The sequence below is a fragment of the Homo sapiens genome, chromosome 4 (assembly GCF_000001405.40).
Source record: "Homo sapiens chromosome 4, GRCh38.p14 Primary Assembly".
Taxonomy (NCBI): Eukaryota; Metazoa; Chordata; class Mammalia; order Primates; family Hominidae; genus Homo; species Homo sapiens.
Window position 1 is genome coordinate 67,953,656 of NC_000004.12, and position 21,869 is coordinate 67,975,524.

At 38.2% G+C, this 21,869-nt stretch overlaps 1 protein-coding gene across 2 annotated transcripts in view, besides 2 other annotated features; it reads right to left on the bottom strand.

Annotated features, from left to right (window-relative positions):
* The window catches only part of TMPRSS11A (transmembrane serine protease 11A), a 54,099-nt gene extending 44,261 nt beyond the window's left edge, over positions 1-9,838 (bottom strand). For both annotated transcript variants that reach the window (NM_001114387.2, NM_182606.4), the window contains exon 1: positions 9,728-9,838. In NM_001114387.2, the coding sequence (NP_001107859.1) occupies positions 9,728-9,738 (11 nt within the window). In that variant the 5' untranslated portion in view covers positions 9,739-9,838. The remainder of the gene's footprint in view (positions 1-9,727) is intronic.
* Positions 18,994-19,515: an enhancer, noted in NCBI's record as "H3K27ac-H3K4me1 hESC enhancer chr4:68838367-68838888 (GRCh37/hg19 assembly coordinates)". NCBI's record gives its function as "activates a minimal SCP1, AML or CMV promoter by ChIP-STARR-seq in naive H9 embryonic stem cells {active_cell/tissue: H9 hESC(naive)}" and the evidence as "EXISTENCE:reporter gene assay evidence [ECO:0000049][PMID:30033119]".
* Positions 19,516-20,037: an enhancer, noted in NCBI's record as "H3K27ac-H3K4me1 hESC enhancer chr4:68838889-68839410 (GRCh37/hg19 assembly coordinates)". NCBI's record gives its function as "activates a minimal SCP1, AML or CMV promoter by ChIP-STARR-seq in naive H9 embryonic stem cells {active_cell/tissue: H9 hESC(naive)}" and the evidence as "EXISTENCE:reporter gene assay evidence [ECO:0000049][PMID:30033119]".

Here is a 21,869-nt window from a genome sequence, read left to right on the forward strand (position 1 = left end):
AGTGTGGTGGCACATGCCTGTAATCCCAGCTACTGGGGAGGCTGAGGCAGGAGAATTGCTTGGACCCAGGAGGCAGAGTTTGCAGTGAGCCAAGATACCATTGCACTCCAGCCTGGGCAACAAGACTGAAACTCCATCTCAAAAAAAAAAAATAGTATTTCTTGGGATCCTTCTGTTCCACAGAACAGTTTTGAAAAGGTGGCTCTAGATGTATTCTCATGGGATATCTCGTGGTCAGATAGGTCAACACAAGAGGAAGAAACAAAGAAAACATTTTCTATTCCTTCTGCCTCTAACTCCCAGATATGAGTAGGGGTGAGGTGGAGCAAAGAGGGAATTGCAGCATTAAATAAAATACCACTGTGAATCCAGACCAAAGGCAATTCTCTGTGGAAAATGATGAAGAGACTCAGGCTGAGCTGAGTTCAAGGAACTCAGGGAAGGAAAGTTAGGAACCAAGAAAAGAAAATACTTCATTTCCTCACCTATCTAGAAAAATGCCTTCATCCTGGTCCCAGGGACAGAAATTAAGCAAACTAACCAAAATGAAACAGAAAAAGGGAAAAATTAAAGCATAACTCAGGAGATTGAGGCTGAAGGGGACTGAGAGCACCTTTCCTGGGTTCCCCATGGATGTACTTCATCCCCATGGAGGGATACTTCAATCCCCTGCCACTTCAGGACAAGCCCACAGATACTCACTGTTGATCACATCTGGCCTGCCAGGCTGGAGTTACTCCAAATTCTTGTAGCCCTGTCTTTCCTCTAGCATCCATCTGACCCTAATCAGTGAAATTAATTTCAGTTCTTATCCCTTCTAGATCCCCCTGCCCTCACTCAGTTAAAGGTCCCTCTCTAGCTGTATCCTGAGCTATGACTGGCATTTAACTCCCTCTCACCTTGAGATATTAGCAAAATATGGAGTTTTATCATCCTAGCTTATAGCTGCAGAGGCTTTCTTAAATAGCATTGAACTTAGACTTTGAATTAATGATAGAGCATAGTCACATATTAGTTTAAATTAATGTGACATGAGTGAACGGACTTCTAATTGGGAGTGGTATAGCATTAACAATAAGAGCCAAAATCTGGAGCCAGACTGCTTGAGTTCAAGTCCGAGTTGGCCACTTGGTAGCTTTGCAATGTGAGGCAAAGCATTTGGCCCTTTTGTGTCTTAGTTCTTCCATTTGTAAAATGCAAATAAAATTGATACCTATCTCATAGGATTTGTATGAAGATTAAATGCATGAATACATATTAAATGTAACCTACATAGAGTAAATAATATATAAATGTGAGATGTTATCATTCTTTTTATTGTTATTATTATTACAGACTTGATAGAAATCAGCCATGCTGAGAAAATGAGCATTTTAGTGTGAGGATACATTTTGTATGTAATTTTGATGACAGTAGCACTTTAGATTTTAAGATCATCTTGGAGTTGCCCCATAGGAGGGAGTTTAGATAGGTAAGGTGTCAGGAAGTACCAGAACATTATTAATGCAACATTAACCAACACAAAGTATACTCCAGTGTGGCTTAGAATGACATAATAAAAGGAAGATGCTGTTTAATTAGTACAATATTAAAAATGGAATAAAGGGTTGAGCCACAAAGTAAAACTTATTATAAAATGTTCTACTTTTCTAGAAATGGTAGGTAGTGCTTAACATTATGCAGTATTCGTGTGTGTTTATGTTTGCACGTGTGTGTACGCACACTTAGCTTTAACATGTTTTGGCACTAGGTACAGTATCACCTATTAAAGTTTGTACGATATGGTATCAGGTTGGAGGTTTAGGCTCATGCTGAAATGATATGCCTGCATGCAAAAGGAATTGTTTGTATTCAAATGCCTGTGTCAGGGTCCTGTACAACATAAATATGCCTTCACAAACTACTTCTATGAATTTACCAGCCATTACAATATTTATGATTTCTTCTTTGTCCTTTCTTTTGTCTGTCTCAGGATCCATTTAACTGTCCATGTATCCATCCATCCATCCACTCATCCACGAATTTTTGTTTCCCACAATGTTTTAGTGGGCCTCTACTATATCTTAGGTGCTGTGTTTGGCTTAGGGAGGAAGGGATGAGTAAGACATGGTTTCTCTACCCTCATGCAATTCATGGTACAATCTTTAGTACTTTTTTCTCAAGCTGTGCTATGACATTGAAACTCATGAAGCATTGTAAACTTATTTTCTGTAAATATTTAAAATAATGCAAATAACAAATTTCCATTAAGTTAACAAAAATGAGAGTTTAAGATTTTAAAAAAGAGGTCTTCTATAGGCATCTTGGTATTGCAGATATGGAACTGCCTTTTAGGGTCAGTAGACTTTGGTGTCAGTCCTTGCTTATGACTCTAACATGTATCTTGAGAAGTTTATAAAACCTCTCTAGTTTTCAGTTTTCTTCCCTGTAAATTGGTGATAATAAATACTACCTAGAGATGTAAAGCCATGAAATAAGCAAATGAGGGACTCTAGCATAAGTCCTACTCTAGGTCAGGAGGTGTCATATAGGTGATCTCGTGTAATTGTTGCTACAGCTTGATGTGGTAGGCTTTATTATTAACAATTTACTAATGAGGAAACTTGGGTTCAGAGAGGAAAAGCAACACAAGTGGCAGAGCTAAGATAAGGGAAGGACTTATCTGTCTGACTTCAAAGCCATCTGTTCTGTTTGTAAACAGATCACCTTGATAATGATGTAAAAAAGCCTTTAATAGTGTATATTCAGATCTTGCTTATATTACTTTCATATCTCCAGTGGGTCAATTTCTTGTCATTGCCAGAGATATTTCAGAAACATATCTATGAATCTGTTGGGAATAAGGAGATATGGATAGCTTCAGTTTAATGTCCAGTAACTCTGTGATCTGAGGCAACATTTTCCCCCTATAAAATAGGGCAGGGACAGGGACTAACTCATATGAAGATTGTAAGAAATAAATGAGATAATTTGCACGAAATGATTCAAATTTAGTAAGTGTATAATAAATGGTAGCTGTTGATGCACTACAAATGAATCATCACCCACTGTGGAATCATATGCTTATCTGATCATAAATTCTTACAAACTAGGCTTCCAAGTACTTTATACACATTTCTGTCATCCTCTCTCTTTTATCTATCAACTATTATTCCTTATATGGCAGTGATACAGTTTGGCTCTGTCCCCACCCATATCTTAGCTTGAATTGTACCTCCCACAATTCCCATATGTTGTGTTGTGGGAGAGACCCAATGGGAGGTAATTGAATCATGGAGGTGGGTCTTTCCCATGCTATTCTCATGACAATGGATAAGTCTCATGAGATCTGATGGTTTTATGAGGGGGAGTTTCCCTGCACAAGCTCTCTTCTCTTGTCTGCCACTATGTAAGACATGCCTTTCATCTTCTGCCATGATTTGAGGCCTCCCCAGCCACATGGAACTGTGAGTCCATTAGACCTCTTTCTTTTGTAAATTGCCCAGTCTCAGGTATGTCTTTATCAGCAGTGTGAAAACGGACTAATACAGTAAATTGGTACCAATAGAGTGGGGTGCCACTGAAAAGATACCTGAACATGTAGAAGCAACTTTGGAACTGGGTAATATGCAGAGGTTGGAACAGTTTGGAGGGCTGAGAAGAAGATAGGAAAATTTGGGAAAGTTTGGAACTCCCTAGAGACTTGTTAAATGGCTTTGACCAAAAACCTGATAGTGATCTAGACATGAAATCCAGGCTGAGATTGTCTCAGATGGAGATAAGGAACTTGTTGGGAACCAGAGCAAAAGTGACGCTTGTTATGTTTTAGCAAAGAGGCTGTTGGCATTTTGCCCTACCCTAGAGATTTGTGGAACTTTGAACTTGAGAGAGATGATTTAGGGTATCTGGAGAAAGAAATTTCTAAGCAGCAAAGCATCCAAAAGGTTACTTGGGTGCTATTAAGGCATTCAGTTTTATAAGGAAGACAGAGCATAAAAGTTCAGAAAATTTGCATCCTGACAATGCGATAAAACAGAAAATCCCATTTTCTGAGGAGAAATTCAAGCCGGCTGCAGAAATTTGCATAAGTAATGAGGAGCTGAATGTTAATCACCAAGACAATGGGAAAATGTCTCCAGGGCATGTCAGAGGTCTTCAAGGCAGCTCCTCCCATCACAGGCCTGGAGACCTAGGAGGAAAAAATAGTTTCATGGGCCAGGTCCAGGGTCCCTCTGCTGTGTGCAGTCTAGGGACTTGTTGCCTTGTGTCCCAGTTGCTCCAGCTGTGACTAAAAGAGGCCAAGCTACAGCTTGGGTCATGGCTTCAGAAGATGCAAGCCCCAAGCCTTAGCAGCTTCCATGTGGGGTTGAGCCTGCAGGTACACAGAAGTCAAGAATTGAGGTTTGGCAACCTCCACCTAGATTTCAGAGGATGTATGGAAATGCCTAGAAGTCCAGGAAGAAGTTTGGTACAAGAGCAGTGCACTCATGGAGAACCTCTGCTAGGGAAGTGCAGAAGTGAACTATCAAGTCAGAGCCTCCACACAAAGTCCCTACTGGGGTGCTGCCTAATGGAGCTGTAAGAAGAGAACCACCGTCCTCCAGACCCCAGAATGGTAGATTCACCGACAGCTTTCACCATGCACCTGGAAAAGCCATAGACACTCAATGCCAGCCTGTGAAAGCAGCTGGGAGGGAGGCTATACCCTGCAAAGCCACAGGGTTGGAGCTGCCCAAGGCCATGGGAACCCACCTTTTGCATCAGTGTGACCTGCATGTGAGACAAGGACCCAAAGGAGATCATTTTGGAGCTTTAAGATTTGACTGCTCTGATGGATTTCAGACTTGTATGGGGCCTTTGGCCCCTTCATTTTGGCCAATTTCTCTGATTTGGAATGGGTCTATTTATCCAGTGCCTGTCCCTCTGTTGTATCTAGGAAGTAACTAACTTACTTTTGATTTTACAGGCTCATAGGCAGAAGGGACCTGCCTTGTCTCAGATGAGACTGTGGACTTTAGAGTTAGTGCTGAAATGAGTTAAGACTTTGGATGACTGTTGGGAAGGCATGATTCGTTTTAAAATGTGAGTACATGAGATTTGGGTGGGGCCAGGGGCAAAATGATATGGTTTGGCTGTGTCCCCACCCAAATCTCATCTTGAACTGTAGCTCTCACAATTCCCATGTGTCGTAGGAGGGATCTGATGGGAGGTAATTGAATCATGAAGGCAGATCTTTCCTATGCTATTCTTGTGATAATGAATAAGTCTCACAAAATCTGATGGTTTTATAAGAAGCTCTCTTCTCTTGTCTGCCACTGTGTAAGAAAGACAATCATGCCTTTTACCTTCTGCCATGATTGTGAGGCCTCCCCAGCCACATGGAACTGTGAGTGCATTAAACCTCTTTCTTTTGTAAATTGCGCAGTCTCAGGTATGTCTTTATCAGCAGCATGAAAATGGATTAATACAGGCAGAGATTTGGAAAAGAAGGAAAACAAATCAAGAAGAGGATGTTACAAATCTGCCTTTAAATCTGAATGATAAGCACATATATTTCAATTCATTGACTATAGACAGAACACTATGGAGTGACTAGTATTGTGAATATTTTACTCAAATTATAGAAAGCCTAGGAAATAACCTTCTTAACATCAACCCTGGTGAAGAATTTTTGGTGAAGAATTCCAAAAGCAATTGCAACAAAACAAAAATTGACAAGTGAGACCTAATTAAACTAAAGAGTATCTGCACAGCAAAAGAAACTATCGAATAAACAGACAATCTACAGAATCAGAGAAAATAGTCACAAACCATGCATCTGACAAAGGTCTAATACCTAGAATGCATGAAAAACTTAAATCAACAAACAAAAAACAAATAACCCCATTAAAAGTGGGCAAAAGATATGAACAGACACTTCTTAAAAGAAGACATACAGGTGGACAACAAACATGAAAAAATGCTCAACCTTACTAATCGTCAGAGAAATACTATCTCACACCCATCAGAATGGCTACTATTAAAGAGTCAAAAAACAGCAGTTGCTGGCAAGGCTGCAGAGAAAAGGGAATTTTTATACACTGTAGGTGGGAATGTAAACTAGTTCAGCCACAATGGAAAGCAGTTTGGAGATTTCTCAAAGAACTTAAGACAGAACTATTTAACACAGCAATCCCATTACTGAATATATATCCAAAGAAAAATAAATCATTATACCAAAAAGATACATGCACTCATGTTTATTGCTGTGCTATTCACAATAGCAAGACATGTAATCAGCCTAGGTGCCCATCAATAGTGGATTTCAGTTTTTTAAAATGTGTTACATATACACCATGGAATACTATGCAGCTGTAAAAAATGTATGTCCTTTGCAGCAACATAGATGAAGCTGGAGGCCATAATCCTAAGCAAACTAATGCAGGAACAGAAAACCAAATACCACATGCTCTCACCTATAAATGGGAGATAAATATTGAGCACACATAGACATAAACACGGGAATAATGGACACTGCAGACTACTAGAGGGGCAAGGTTGGGAGGAGGGCATAGATGGAAAATCTACCTATTGGGTGCTATGCCCACTACCTGGGTGCAATATATCTATGTAACAAACCTGCAGATGTATCCACTATAGCGAAAATAAATGTTGAAATTTAAAAAAATTAAATTAAAAAACAGTTATTCTTCTCTTAGAAATTACTAAAAAGAAAGAAAGAAAGTCAAGTTACCCTATTCGTTAAACTCAGGCTCTGGCTCTATTTTTCAGGTTGAAATTCCAGCTCCTTCACTTACTAGCTTGTGATATTGGGCTACTTTCTTCACCTATAAAATGGAGATAATATTACCTAAGTCATAGGATTGCTGAGATAATTAAATGCACCAACATAATGTAATATGTATATTATAGTTTGAATGCTTATTTATAGTAAGCACTATGAGTTTGCTGAAAACTAAACCAAAAAGTAATTTTTAATTGATAATTTATAACAAGTTTAGTAATTAGTAACTAACATGGTGAGTTTGCTATTTTTGTTTTAATTCTGAAGGTATAATTTTAGAATATATTAGGAATTGCTCATGGCAAATTAAAAGTTGATTAAAACAATCAACTGAAGTGAAATTAAAATGTAAAACATGAAAGCATACAAAGGACCTGCCCAGTACTATCTTTTTGTCTAAAGGTGATGAGGAAGAGGAGAATTCTGATTTTTTGCATTTATTAAACAATGCTGAAAATAAAGAGCTATGGGAAAAAGAGATGCCAGACTTCTGGGAACAGGATAAGAATCTCACCTGAAGAAGTCATTTGGTATTTTATCTTTTGTAACAAAGATAATTGAGGTACTTAAGTGAGTGAATCATGCAATTAACAAAAGTGTAGGAAAAAGTAGGTGTATGGCTATTCTTAAAGGAAAATTCAAACAGATTCACACCAAAACAGAAAGAATCCCTGCAATACACAGAAGAGGGTAACAGAACCCATAGAGAAGAGATCCAAGGTTCATGATAGCAGAAAGAGCAAGGATACAAATCGAATATATTTGACAAGGCTTCCATATTATGTTTCTTGTTAATGGAGAAGTAAGAATGGCTAGCATGACTGTAGAACATATTGTAGAATGACTGTGGGTGAGACATAGGGTATTGTAGTAATTATTAACCATCTGCTTTGCCTCAATCCTTAAGCCTACTTGTTGGTGTGACCTGACATCTCCTGCAAATCTTCCAAATCCTAAATTAATATTGCATGAATTTGGCTTAAAGAAACCATAACCATTCAATGTTTCCCACCATTTCCTTTCTTTTTCCTTTCTTTTCTTTTCTTTCCTTTCCTTTTCTTTTCCTTTTTTTTTTTTTTTTTTTTTTTTTTTTTTTTTTTTTTTTTTTTTTGAGACAGAGTCTTGTTCTGTTGCCCAGGCTGAAGTGTAGTGGCATGATTTGGCTCACTGCAACCTCCGACTCCCAAGTTGAAGTGATTTTCTTGCCTCACCCTCCCAAGTAGCTGGGCCTACAGGTGCATGCGCCACCATGCCCGGCTAATTGTTGTATTTTTAGTAGAGATGGGGTTTCACTATCTTGGCCAGGCTGGTCTCTAACTCCTAGCCTCAAGTGATTTGCCTGCCTCGGCCTCCGAAAGTGCTGGGATTACAGGCATGAGCCACCACGCCCAGCCTGTTTCCTTTATCAGCAGGTGTCACTGATGTCTGGAACAATGGCATTGACCACTGATTCTACCCTTGTAATTTACATCCCTAAGCTGCAAACACTCCTATAAATATATTAATGTTCATAGAAAAGGACACTTTTGGTGCCCATAATTATGAGCTTGATATTTTAAAAGAGTGATTTGGAGAATATGAAATATGAAAAACTGGAAATCCTGTTTTACAATATCATGATTCTATAAACATGGATATGCATTTTCACATTCAATATACTTTAATAATTTAATAGTAAATTATTAATTTTTAAAATAATTTTTTAACAGTCAAACATTAATGCTAGATATTTACATCTGCTTGCCCATTCATTTGTTCAACAAATATTTATGGAGTACTGGTTATGTTTGAAGCATTGAAGACCCTTTCTGAGGGTCTCAGAGACTTTTTGTCAATTACTATGTGATTACTGAAGGACTGATGCAAACATGCATTTTGTGAGTGGGGAAGGAAACCTAGTGAAGTTCACTAACTTAGTGGCCAATCTCGTATCAAATTATCATCTCTGAAATTCACTGGATGGAATCCTTGCCACCCAGACAGGCTGCAGTAGCTGATAAGGAAGACTCGACTCCAAGGAGTTGAGGACTGCAAGGAATTATAGCCATGATTCTGGCTTCTGACAGCCCTCTAGACCTGGAGACGTCCCCTAACTTCTGTTTTCCTCAAATTCCTTGCTTTAAAATGGGAGTTAACGATACTTGTGATACTTGTTCTACTTAGCCACAAGGCTGTCTTGGCTATTAAAGGAAATAACATACATAAAGATGTTTCAAAAATAGTACAAGTCTAAACAATGGTGAAATATTATTATCATCATGGCTGTTTAAAATCACTATTTTAACTGTATATAAAGTTATGCCAAGGAATCTTATTTTTTCATATTCTTTGCACATGGCATACCCCATTTTGAAAAACAATACCCAAATAATTCATGTATTTTTTCTTCAAAACGTAATAGGAAGAATTGTAGAGAATAGGCATGTTTTCCCAGTATTGAGCTTGTTTTCTCATTCTCCCACATGGAAGCCCTGGGTCTTCTACAATGGAGGCAGGTGTCTCTGCAGCTATTTACCTCTCAATCTGCATTAGTCCCACAAGGACCCACCATAAGGGACAAGTAAACACAGCGAAAGAGAAAACGCTATAGAAGCTAAATTTTGTCAATATTGCTGAAAGAAGGCTTGTTTTAAAACATATAAACACCCTCCTTCCACACACACAAAAAAATCAAAACCAATTAAGACACAATGTAATATAGTTTTTCATTAACCTTTTCTAAAATCTTAACTATTGAACTTGGCCACATGAAATAATGCTAACAATTTTTATACAAAAACTTTGATTTCAAACACAGAAATTAATTAATCCAGGATGCTATGATAATTCCAGAAATTTAAAAAAATCCAGTGCAGATTGAATCCACCAAAGACACCTCACTAGCAGTCCTCTTACACATCAGGAATCCGGCCACTGACAGACAGTACATCAAACAAGCCATCTATAAAACAGAACTGAACTTACCGATACATCATGTACAGGAGGAAGAATATGATCTTGCAGGTCTGCACCCACTGAACTCAACTTTCTAATCAACTATATGACATCTCTAGATGTATTAGAAGTCTACGGCTCAAAGAAATAAGGAAACAAATTACAAGTAGTTGAAATGAAACTAGTTTGACAAGTCTGAACAGAGAAGTTTCAACCCATAGAAGGCCTTGAAGAAAGCCAGAGACAGGATAGTCCCAACAAGAAAGCAATATTTTTTTAGTATGGACTAATTTTGTTAAAGGAGGAGAAACTGGTTACAAAGATTAGAATGAGAAATACCTTAGGAATGTACTAGAATTAAGAATTTAAAGAAGATTATGGTAGGTATATAAGTATTTTAAAGAAACTGTCACATAAAAGCTCTAGATAAAAACAAACAGATCTTAAAATCTAAATACATAATAAAAATATAACTCAAGAAATATTCCATAAATTCATGTTGAACAGCAGGTATCTTACAGAAGCATAGTGAATTTACTAATACATAATAGTTTTTTTAAATACCCACTTCTGAGAGTACAGGCAAATAAATTAATATAAAACTATATGTTTCCCCAAATGACTTAATGTGATAAAACATTGACAGACATTTATCAGAATGAAAAAAAGAGAAGAAATAAACATTTTCAATTAGACAAACAACATATTAATACATGTTCTTTGTAAAAAATGAGACTAAAACCATGTTTGACAATGTCCTACTCTTGGTCCCTTTCCTTCTCCCTCAGAAGCACCTAGTGTTAGGAGAAGGGGTGTTAATGCTTATAATGCATAAAAAACATTTATGCATTTTAATTTAAAAGTATCACATTGTATACATTATTGTGCAGTTTGGTTGTATTCGTTTAACATTGTGAATATCATTCCATTTTGGGGAAAACAGATCTCCCTTATTCTTTTTATTTTTGGAGACGGAGTCTCCCTCTGTCGCCCAGGCTGGAGTGCAGTGGCCCCATCTCGGCTCACTGCAAGCTCCGCCTCCCGGGTTCACGCCATTCTCTTGACTCAGTCTCCCAAGTAGCTGGGACTACAGGACCACGCCTGGCTAGTGTTTTTTTTTTTTTTTTCTATAGTTTTAGTAGAGACGGGGTTTCACCGTGTTATCCAAGATGGTCTCAATTTCCTGACCTGTTGATCCGCCTGCCTCGGCCTCCCAAAGTGCTGGGATTACAGGCGTGAGCCACCGCGCCCGGCCCAGATCTCCCTTATTCTTTTTACCAATTGCACGAAGGACGAAAATATTTAGTGTTTCTTGTTCATACCTTATAACCAAATGGTACCCATTTAAGGGGGAACACTACTTTAAATAGAGGTTTTCCAAGTCATTGCTTCTAGCACTTGGAGAAAGCACATTTGAAATCTTTTTACACAGTACAGCAGAGTGCTTTAAGTGCATAGGCTCTCTAGGAGTGCCAAGGTTCAAATCTCAGAAGTTTCCATGTCTGTAAAATAGGAATAATATTAATTATCATCTTTTAGGGTTTTTGTGAAACATATATGAGTTAATGCTGTGCATGTAAAATGTTTAAAATAGTGCCTCTTGCAATGGAAGCAAGAAGAAACATCGGCTATTATTATTAGGACTGTATTTCATTTGCATATGTTTTCTTACCTAATATTTAACAGACAAAACCTTAGTGAAGGTTATTCTAGTGAACTATACAAGGAACACACATAGGAACATTCTTTCCTTCCTTTTCCTTCCTTTCCCTCTTTTTCCTCCTTTTCTTCTGGCATAGTGCTTCATGGAATAGTGAATAGGGCATGGACTTAGAATGGAATTCTGACTCTGCTAGTTAATTTGAGCAGATTACTTAAATCCCTTGAGCATAATTTTTCTCCTATTTAGAATGGGTTGATACCATCTATATGCAGGACCTTTGTGAGTGTTAAATTGCATAATGTATGTGAAACTGTCTAGCAAAATGGCAATAAACAACGGCTTCCATTGTGAGTGGCAGAAGTCCTCATAGACAGAGCTCTAACTTTGGAGAGAGATATACCAGCCTGCAAATCCTGGCTTTACTCTCTAGCTGCTGGTTGGCATTTTTGTGTCTTAACTTCCTTGTCCGTAAATGGAATGAATAATAGCTTTCCAGACTATTGTAGGAATTATAGGAAACAGTATATGCAAAATGCCCCTCACACTATCTGGTACAAATAAGAAGGGAATCATGGACTACATTAAGGTAAAATGATGACTGCTATGAATGTCAGTGTGGCAGAACATAAGAATTTTGTTCAGAATCTCTCTGTGCATCCTAATACAATCTGGCATCTTAGCTTTCTGTCTATTTCATTGCAGGAGTGTAGAAGACTAAATGTCTGAATATCAGCATAAACTCCAGAATTGGCAGTGGGAGTTTAATAAGCTATAGGCCAACAGGAGGCAGGCAATATGACATAGCAAACAAGAAACACAACTTTGAAAGAACCAGAACCAAATTTCTGTCTTCTAATAATTATGGATTTGAGTAAATTACCTAACTTTCTGTACTTAATTTTTCTGCACTAAGAATAGTAATATATGTACAAACTAAATGAGAATAGCTCAATGGTGTTATGCGGAGTAAAAGAATCCAGATTCAAAAGTTACATATTGCATAATTCCATTCATATGACATTTCTAGAAAAGGCTATACCGGAAAGACAAAAACAAATTAGAGTTTGCCACAGTGTGATGATGGCAAAGAGGGCCTTTATGACAACGAAATTTTTGGGGAGATGAAATTTTTCTGTATCTTGTGGTGTTGGTTTTAAGACTATATGTGCTTGTCAAAAGTCATAGAACTATTCACTAAAAAGGTAAATTTTATTTAATGTAAGTTATACGTCAATAAAATTTACATTCAAAATAGTAAAACAAATGAAATTATAATTATTGCAAATAAACAGTACTCATCAAAGGCCAGCCATTGCCATCACTACTTTACATGCATTATCTTGTTTAATACTTCACAGCAGCCCTTTGGGGAGGAATTAACCTCATTTTACAGAAATAGAAACTGAGGCTCACAGATGTGAAATAATTTGACTAGTCTCATATGTCTGTAAATGATAGAGCCAGCATTTCCTTCCAGGTCTCTCTGACACAAAAGGCTCTCCCCTTTATCATTTAGAATTACTATGTGAATGGTGCTTGACATAAATCTAGCTCTAAAAAATAATAGTTTTTTTTTTTTTCCCCATCACCAGCTGATTATGGAAGTTGGCGGTGGGGGGGAATAGCAGCCCTTGTCTGCTATTTAAGTCTATCTTTTATGCTGTATCCCCTCAAACAACTACAATGTCCCAATATAACTTCCCTGATGTGATGGGAACAAAGATGTAAACTAGTATGATTGTCAACAATCACATTTTTAGTATGGAGGTAATTATTTTTTGTTTCCCTTTAGGCATCTACTTGAGTAGCTCTCAGTAATTCATAGTATGTATAAATTACCTGGACTTGTTTATGCCTAAACCTTACTTGTACAGTTGAAATTTATTGCAGAAAATCTTTCTTAAGATTGTTTTAAATTGTTAATAATGTAAATAGGCATGCTACTGCTCTCCTATTATCTCATATTAATGTGCCATTATAATGAAAAAATACTACAGTGCATAGGAATTATATCATGAGACAATAGCAACAACATACTTTCCTTGAGGAAGATGTAAGATAACTTCTCTGATTGAGATTTTTCTTCAACCGATGTTATTGTCATCCCTGAAAAGGAGAAATTACAAAACTGACACCAGGTAACAAGTAAAGTATTCTCATGTTGTAAATGAAGAAGTGGGAAATAGAACATAGATTAGGAGTCATTGCACATAGTAGCTCAGACCCTATTGTGTTATGGTATTTCAGAGAAGCCTAATATGGTAAACATCATGGAATTCCACAGATATTTGTTCAGTTCTATGATATTCCTATGATGTACTTTAAGATTAAGACAGCAAAACAAACATCATTAAGATCTGCTCCTTACATGTATAACATCAACTCTTTTTTTCTTCAACTTTTTTTTTTAATTATACTTTAAGTTTTAGGGTACATGTGCACATTGCGCAGGTTAGTTACGTATGTATACATGTGCCATGCTGGTGCGCTACACCCACTAACTCGTCATCTAGCATTAGGTATATCTCCCAATGCTATCCCTCCCACCTCCCCCCACCCCACCACAGTCTGCAGAGTGTGATATTCCCCTTCCTGTGTCCATGTGATCTCATTGTTCAATTCCCACCTATGAGTGAGAATATGTGGTGTTTGGTTTTTTGTTCTTGCAATAGTTTACTGAGAATGATGATTTCCAATTTCATCCATGTCCCTACAAAGGACATGAACTCATCATTTTTTATGGCTGCATAGTATTCCATGGTGTATATGTGCCACATTTTCTTAATCCAGTCTATCATTGTTGGACATTTGGGTTGGTTCCAAGTCTTTGCTATTGTGAATAATGCTGCAATAAACATACGTGTGCATGTGTCTTTATAGCAGCATGATTTATAGTCATTTGGGTATATACCCAGTAATGGGATGGCTGGGTCAAATGGTATTTCTAGTTCTAGATCCCTGAGGAATCGCCACACTGAATTCCACAATGGTTGAACTAGTTTACAGTCCCACCAACAGTGTAAAAGTGTTCCTATTTCTCCACATCCTCTCCAGCACCTGTTGTTTCCTGACTTTTTAATGATTGCCATTCTAACTGGTGTGAGATGGTATCTCATTGTGGTTTTGATTTGCATTTCTCTGATGGCCAGTGATGGTGAGCATTTTTTCATGTGTTTTTTTGCTGCATAAATGTCTTCTTTTGAGAAGTGTCTGTTCATGTCCTTCGCCCACTTTTTGATGGGGTTGTTTGTTTTTTTCTTGTAAATTTGTTTGAGTTCATTGTAGATTCTGGATATTAGCCCTTTGTCAGATGAGTAGGTTGCAAAAATTTTCTCCCATTTTCTAGGTTGCCTGTTCACTCTGATGGTAGTTTCTTTTGCTGTGCAGAAGCTCTTTAGTTTAATTAGATCCCATTTGTCAATTTTGGCTTTTGTTGCCATTGCTTTTGGTGTTTTAGACATGAAGTCCTTGCCCATGCCTATGTCCTGAATGATAATGCCTAGGTTTTCTTCTAGGGTTTTTATGGTTTTAGGTCTAACGTTTAAATCTTTAATCCATCTTGAATTGATTTTTGTATAAGGTGTAAGGAAGGGATCCAGTTTCAGCTTTCTACATATGGCTAGCCAGTTTTCCCAGCACCATTTATTAAATAGGGAATCCTTTCCCCATTGCTTGTTTTTCTCAGGTTTGTCAAAGATCAGATAGTTGTAGATATGCGGCGTTATTTCTGAGGGCTCTGTTCTGTTCCATTGATCTATATCTCTGTTTTGGTACCAATACCATGCTGTTTTGGTTACTGTAGCCTTGTAGTATAGTTTGAAGTCAGGTAGTGTGATGCCTCCAGCTTTGTTCTTTTGGCTTAGGATTGACTTGGCAATGCAGGCTCTTTTTTGGTTCCATATGAACTTTAAAGTAGTTTTTTCCAATTCTGTGAAGAAAGGCATTGGTAGCTTAATGGGGATGGCATTGAATCTGTAAATTACCTTGGGCAGTATGGCCATTTTCACGATATTGATTCTTCCTACCCATGAGCATGGAATGTTCTTCCATTTGCTTGTATCCTCTTTTATTTCCTTGAGCAGTTGTTTGTAGTTCTCCTTGAAGAGGTCCTTCACATCCCTTGTAAGTTGGATTCCTAGGTATTTTATTCTCTTTGAAGCAGTTGTGAATGGGAGTTCACTCATGATTTGGCTCTCTGTTTGTCTGTTGTTGGTGTATAAGAATGCTTGTGACTTTTGTACATTGATTTTGTATCCTGAGACTTTGCTGAAGTTGCTTATCAGCTTAAGGAGATTTTGGGCTGAGACAATGGGGTTTTCCAGATATACAATCATGTCGTCTGCAAACAGGGACAATTTGACTTCCTCTTTTCCTAATTGAATACCCTTTATTTCCTTCTCCTGCCTAATTGCCCTGGCCAGAACTTCCAACACTATGTTGAATAGGAGTGATGAGAGAGGGCATCCCTGTCTTGTGCCAGTTTTCAAAGGGAATGCTTCCAGTTTTTACCCATTCAGTATGATATTGGCTGTGTGTTTGTCATAGATAGCTCTTATTATTTTGAAACACGTCCCATCAATACCTAATTTATTGAGAGTTTTTAGCATGAAAGGTTGTTGAATTTTGTCAAAGGCTTTTTCTGCATCTATTGAGATAATCATGTGGTTTTCGTCTTTGGCTCTGTTTATATGCTGGATTACATTTATTGATTTGTGTATATTGAACCAGCCTTGCATCCCAGGGATGAAACCCACTTGATCATGGTGGATAAGCTTTTTGATGTGCTGCTGGATTCGGTTTGCCAGTATTTTATTGAGGAGTTTTGCATCAATGTTCATCAAGGATATTGGTCTAAAATTCTCTTTTTTGGTTGTGTCTCTGCCCAGCTTTGGTATCAGAATGATGCTGGCCTCATAAAATGAGTTAGGGAGGAGTCCCTCTTTTTCTACTGATTGGAATAGTTTCAGAAGGAATGGTACCAGTTCCTCCTTGTACCTCTGGTAGAATTCAGCTGTGAATCCATCTGGTCCTGGACTCTTTTTGGTTGGTAAACTATTGATTATTGCCACAATTTCAGCTCCTGTTATTGGTCTATTCAGAGATTCAACTTCTTCCTGGTTTAGTCTTGGGAGAGTGTATGTGTCGAGGAATTTATCCATTTCTTCTAGATTTTCTAGTTTATTTGCGTAAAAGTGTTTGTAGTATTCTCTGATGGTAGTTTGTATTTCTGTGGGATCTGTGGTGATATCCCCTTTATCATTTTTTATTGCGTCTATTTGATTTTTCTCTCTTTTTTTCTTTATTAGTCTTGCTAGCAGTCTATCAATTTTGTTGTTCCTTTCAAAAAACCAGCTCCTGGATTCACTAATTTTTTGAAGGGTTTTTTGTGTCTCTATTTCCTTCAGTTCTGCTCTGATTTTAGTTATTTCTTGCCTTCTGCTAGCTTTTGAATGTGTTTGCTCTTGCTTTTCTAGTTCTTTTAATTGTGATGTTAGGGTGTCAATTTTGGATCTTTCCTGCTTTCTCTTGTGGGCATTTAGTGCTATAAATTTCCCTCTACACACTGCTTTGAATGCGTCCCAGAGATTCTGGTATGTTGTGTCTTTGTTCTCGTTGGTTTCAAAGAACATCTTTATTTCTGCCTTCATTTCGTTATGTACCCAGTAGTCACTCAGGAGCAGGTTGTTCAGTTTCCATGTAGTTGAGTGGTTTTGAGTGAGATTCTTAATCCTGAGTTCTAGTTTGATTGCACTGTGGTCTGAGAGATAGTTTGTTATAATCTCTGTTCTTTTACATTTGCTGAGGAGAGCTTTACTTCCAAGTATGTGGTCAATTTTGGAATAGGTGTGGTGTGGTGCTGAAAAAAATGTATATTCTGTTGATTTGGGGTGGAGAGTTCTGTAGATGTCTATTAGGTCTGCTTGGTGCAGAGCTGAGTTCAATTCCTGGGTATCCTTGTTGACTTTCTGTCTCGTTGATCTGTCTAATGTTGACAGTGGGGTGTTAAAGTCTCCCATTATTAATGTGTGGGAGTCTAAGTCTCTTTGTAGGTCACTCAGGACTTGCTTTATGAATCTGGGTGCTCCTGTATTGGGTGCATATATATTTAGGATAGTTAGCTCTTCTTGTTGAATTGATCCCTTTACCATTATGTAATGGCCTTCTTTGTCTCTTTTGATCTTTGTTGGTTTAAAGTCTGTTTTATCAGACACTAGGATTGCAACCCCTGCCTTTTTTTGTTTTCCATTTGCTTGGTAGATCTTCCTCCATCCTTTTATTTTGAGCCTATGTGTGTCTCTGCACGTGAGATGGGTTTCCTGAATACAGCACACTGATGGGTCTTGAGTCTTTATCCAATTTGCCAGTCTGTGTCTTTTAATTGGAGCATTTAGTCCATTTACATTTAAAGTTAATATTGTTATGTGTGAATTTGATCCTGTCATTATGATGTTAGCTGGTGATTTTGCTCATTAGTTGATGCAGTTTCTTCCTAGTCTCGATGGTCTTTACATTTTGGCATGATTTTGCAGTGGCTGGTACTGGTTGTTCCTTTCCATGTTTAGCGCTTCCTTCAGGAGCTCTTTTAGGGCAGGCCTGGTGGTGACAAAATCTCTCAGCATTTGCTTGTCTGTAAAGTATTTTATTTCTCCTTCACTTATGAAACTTAGTTTGGCTGGATATGAAATTCCGGGTTAAAAATTCTTTTCTTTAAGAATGTTGAATATTGGCCCCCACTCTCTTCTGGCTTGTAGGGTTTCTGCCGAGAGATCCGCTGTTAGTCTGATGGGCTTCCCTTTGAAGGTAACCCGACCTTTCTCTCTTGCTGCCCTTAACATTTTTTCCTTCATTTCAACTTTGGTGAATCTGACAATTATGTGTCTTGGAGTTGCTCTTCTCGAGGAGTATCTTTGTGGCATTCTCTGTATTTCCTGAATCTGAACGTTGGACTGCCTTGCTAGGTTGGGGAAGTTCTCCTGGATAATATCCTGCAGAGTGTTTTCCAACTTGGTTCCATTCTCCCCATCACTTTCAGTTACACCAATCAGACGTAGATTTGGTCTTTTCACATAGTCCCATATTTCTTGGAGGCTTTGCTCGTTTCTTTTTATTCTTTTTTCTCTAAACTTCCCTTCTCGCTTCATTTCATTCATTTCATCTTCCATTGCTGACACCCTTTCTTCCAGTTGATCGCATCGGCTCCTGAGGCTTCTGCATTCTTCACGTAGTTCTCGAGCCTTGGTTTTCAGCTTCATCAGCTCCTTTAAGCACTTCTCTGTATTGGTTATTCTAGTTATACATTCTTATAAATTTTTTTCAAAGTTTTCAACTTCTTTGCCTTTGGTTTGAATGTCCTCCCGTAGCTCAGAGTAATTTGATCGTCTGAAGCCTTCTTCTCTCAGCTCGTCAAAGTCATTCTCCATCCAGCTTTGTTCCGTTGCTGGTGAGGAACTGCGTTCCTTTGGAGGAGGAGAGGTGCTCTGCTTTTTAGAGTTTCCAGTTTTTCTGTTCTGTTTTTTCCCCATCTTTGTGGTTTTATCTACTTTTGGTCTTTGATGATGGTGATGTACAGATGGGTTTTTGGTGTGGATGTCCTTTCTGTTTGTTAGTTTTCCTTCTAACAGACAGGACCCTCAGCTGCAGGTCTGTTGGAATACCCTGCCTTGTGAGCTGTCAGTGTGCCCCTGCTGGGGGTGCCTCCCAGTTAGGCTGCTCGGGGGTCAGGGGTCAGGGACCCACTTGAGGAGGCAGTCTGCCCGTTCTCAGATCTCCAGCTGCGTGCTGGGAGAACCACTGCTCTCTTCAAAGCTGTCAGACAGGGACATTTAAGTCTGCAGAGGTTACTGCTGTCTTTTTGTTTGTCTGTGCCCTGCCCCCAGAGGTGGAGCCTACAGAGGCAGGCAGGCCTCCTTGAGCTGTGGTGGGCTCCACCCAGTTCGAGCTTCCCGGCTGCTTTGTTTACCTAAGCAAGCCTGGGCAATGGCGGGCGCCCTTCCCCCAGCCTCGCTGCCGCCTTGCAGTTTGATCTCAGACTGCTGTGCTAGCAATCAGGGAGACTCCGTGGGCCTAGGATCCTCCGAGCCAGGTGCGGGATATAATCTCGTGGTGCACCGTTTTTTAAGCAGGTCAGAAAAGCGCAGTATTCGGGTGGGAGTGACCCGATTTTCTAGGTGCGTCTGTCACCCCTTTCTTTGACTCGGAAAGGGAACTCCCTGACCCCTTGCGCTTCCCAAGTGAGGCAATGCCTCGCCCTGCTTCGGCTGGCGCATGGTGCACGCACCCACTGACCTGCGCCCACTGTCTGGCACTCCCTAGTGAGATGAACCCGGTACCTCAGATGGAAATGCAGAAATCACCCGTCTTCTGTGTCGCTCATGCTGGGAGCTGTAGACTGGAGCTGTTCCTATTCGGCCATCTTGGCTCCTCCCCATTTCTTCAACTTTTATTTTATGTTCTGGGGTACATATGCAGGATGTGCAGGTTTGTTACACAGGTAAATGTGTGCTATGGTGGTTTGATGAACAATCAGCCCATCACCTAGATATTAAGCCCAGCATACATTAGCCATTCTTCCTGATGCTCTCCTTCCACCCACCACCCCTGATAGGCCCCAGTGTGTGTTTCCCACTACTATATGTCCATGTGTTCTCATAGTTCCATTCCCACTTATAAGTGATAATATGCAGTGTTTGATTTTTCTGTTCCTGCAGTAGTTTGCTGAGGATAATGGCTTCCAGCTTCATTCATGTCCCTGCAAAGGAAATTATCTCATTCTTTTTTATGGCTGCATAGTACTCCATGTTGTATATGTACCACATTTTTTTTAACCAGTCTGTCATTAATGGGTATTTGAGTTGATTCCATGTCATTGGGCCATTGTGAATAGTGCTGCAACGAACATACACATGCATGTATCTTTATAATTTAATTAAATCCCATTTGTCAATTTTTGCTTTTGTTGCAATTGTTTTTGGAGTTTTTATAATGAAATATTTGCCTGTGCCTATGTCCTGAATGGTATTGCCTAGATTTTCTTCTAAGGTTTTTATGGTTTGGGGGTTAACATTTAAATCTTTAATCCATCTTGAATTAATTTTTGTATAAGGTGCAAGGAAGGGGCCAGTTTCAATTTTCTGCATATGGTTAGCCAGTTCTCCCAGCACCACTTATTAAATAGGGAATCCTTTCCCCATTGCTTGTTTTTGTCAGGTTTGTTGAAGGTCAGATCTTTGTAAGCATGCAGTCTTATTTCTGAGTTCTCTATTCTGTTCCATTGGTGTGTCTGTTTTTTACCAATACCATGCTGTTTTGGTTACTGTAGCCACGTACTATAGTTTGAAGTCAGGTAGCATAATGCGTCCAGCTTTGTTCCTTTTGCTTAGGATTGTTTTGGCTATTTGGGCTCTTTTTTGGTTGCATGTGAATTTTTTTTTTTTTTTTTTTTTTTTGAGACAGGGTCTCCTTCCATCCCCCAGGCTGGAGTACAGTGACATAATATCATCTCACTGCGGCCTCCACTTCCCAGGTTCAAGTGATTCTTCTGCCTCAGCCTCTGAAGTATCTGGGATTATAGACAATCTAGTGGGTGTGATTGATGTCAAATTTTGTTGAAGCATTTTCTGTGTCAATTGACATGATTATATGTTTTTTCTTCTTTAGCTTGTTAATATGGTGTATTACATTAATTGATTTTCAAATATTGAAACCTCCTTGAATACCTGGAATAAATTCCATTTCATCATGGTGTATTCTTCTTTTTATATACTATTGGATTCAATTGGCTAAAGTTTTGTTTAGAATTTTGTGTCTAAACTAATGAGAGATATTTGTCTGCTGCTTCCTATTTTTGTTGCTCTGGTTTTAGTATCAGGATAATACTGTCTTCATCAAATGAATTAGAAAATGTTTCCCTTTCATCTGTTTTTTTTTTTTTTTTTTTGGAAGGGGTCATGTAAAATTGGTGTTAATTATTTGAATATTTTGAAAAATTCACCAGTGAAACCATTCATGCCTGAATGTTTTTTAATAGAATTTTAATTATTAATTCAATTTATTTAGTAGGAATATTTAAATTATCTATATTATCTTTGCTGAGTTTTGGTAGTTTGTGGTTTTCAAGGAATTTGTCCATCTCTTCTAAGTTGTTAAATTTATTAATGTAAACTCATTTCTGGTATTCCTTAATTAACATTTGAGGGCTGCTAGCTCTTTTGTAATATTCCATCATTTCATTCCTGATCCTGGTGATTTCAATCTTCTCTATTTTAATCTTTGTCAGTCTTCCCAGAAGTTTATCAATATTATTGATTTTCTCTTAAACAGTTTTTTTGTCACTAGTTTTTTTCTGTTGTTTCTTTGTTTGCAAATTTATTAACTGAGGTTTTTATCTTGATTAATTTTGCTCTTTATTATTTCCTTCCTACTCCTACTTAATGTTTATTTTGCTCTCATTTGCTTGTTTCTTGTAGTAGAAACTTAAAGTATTGATTTTTCCCTTTATCTTTCTATAAT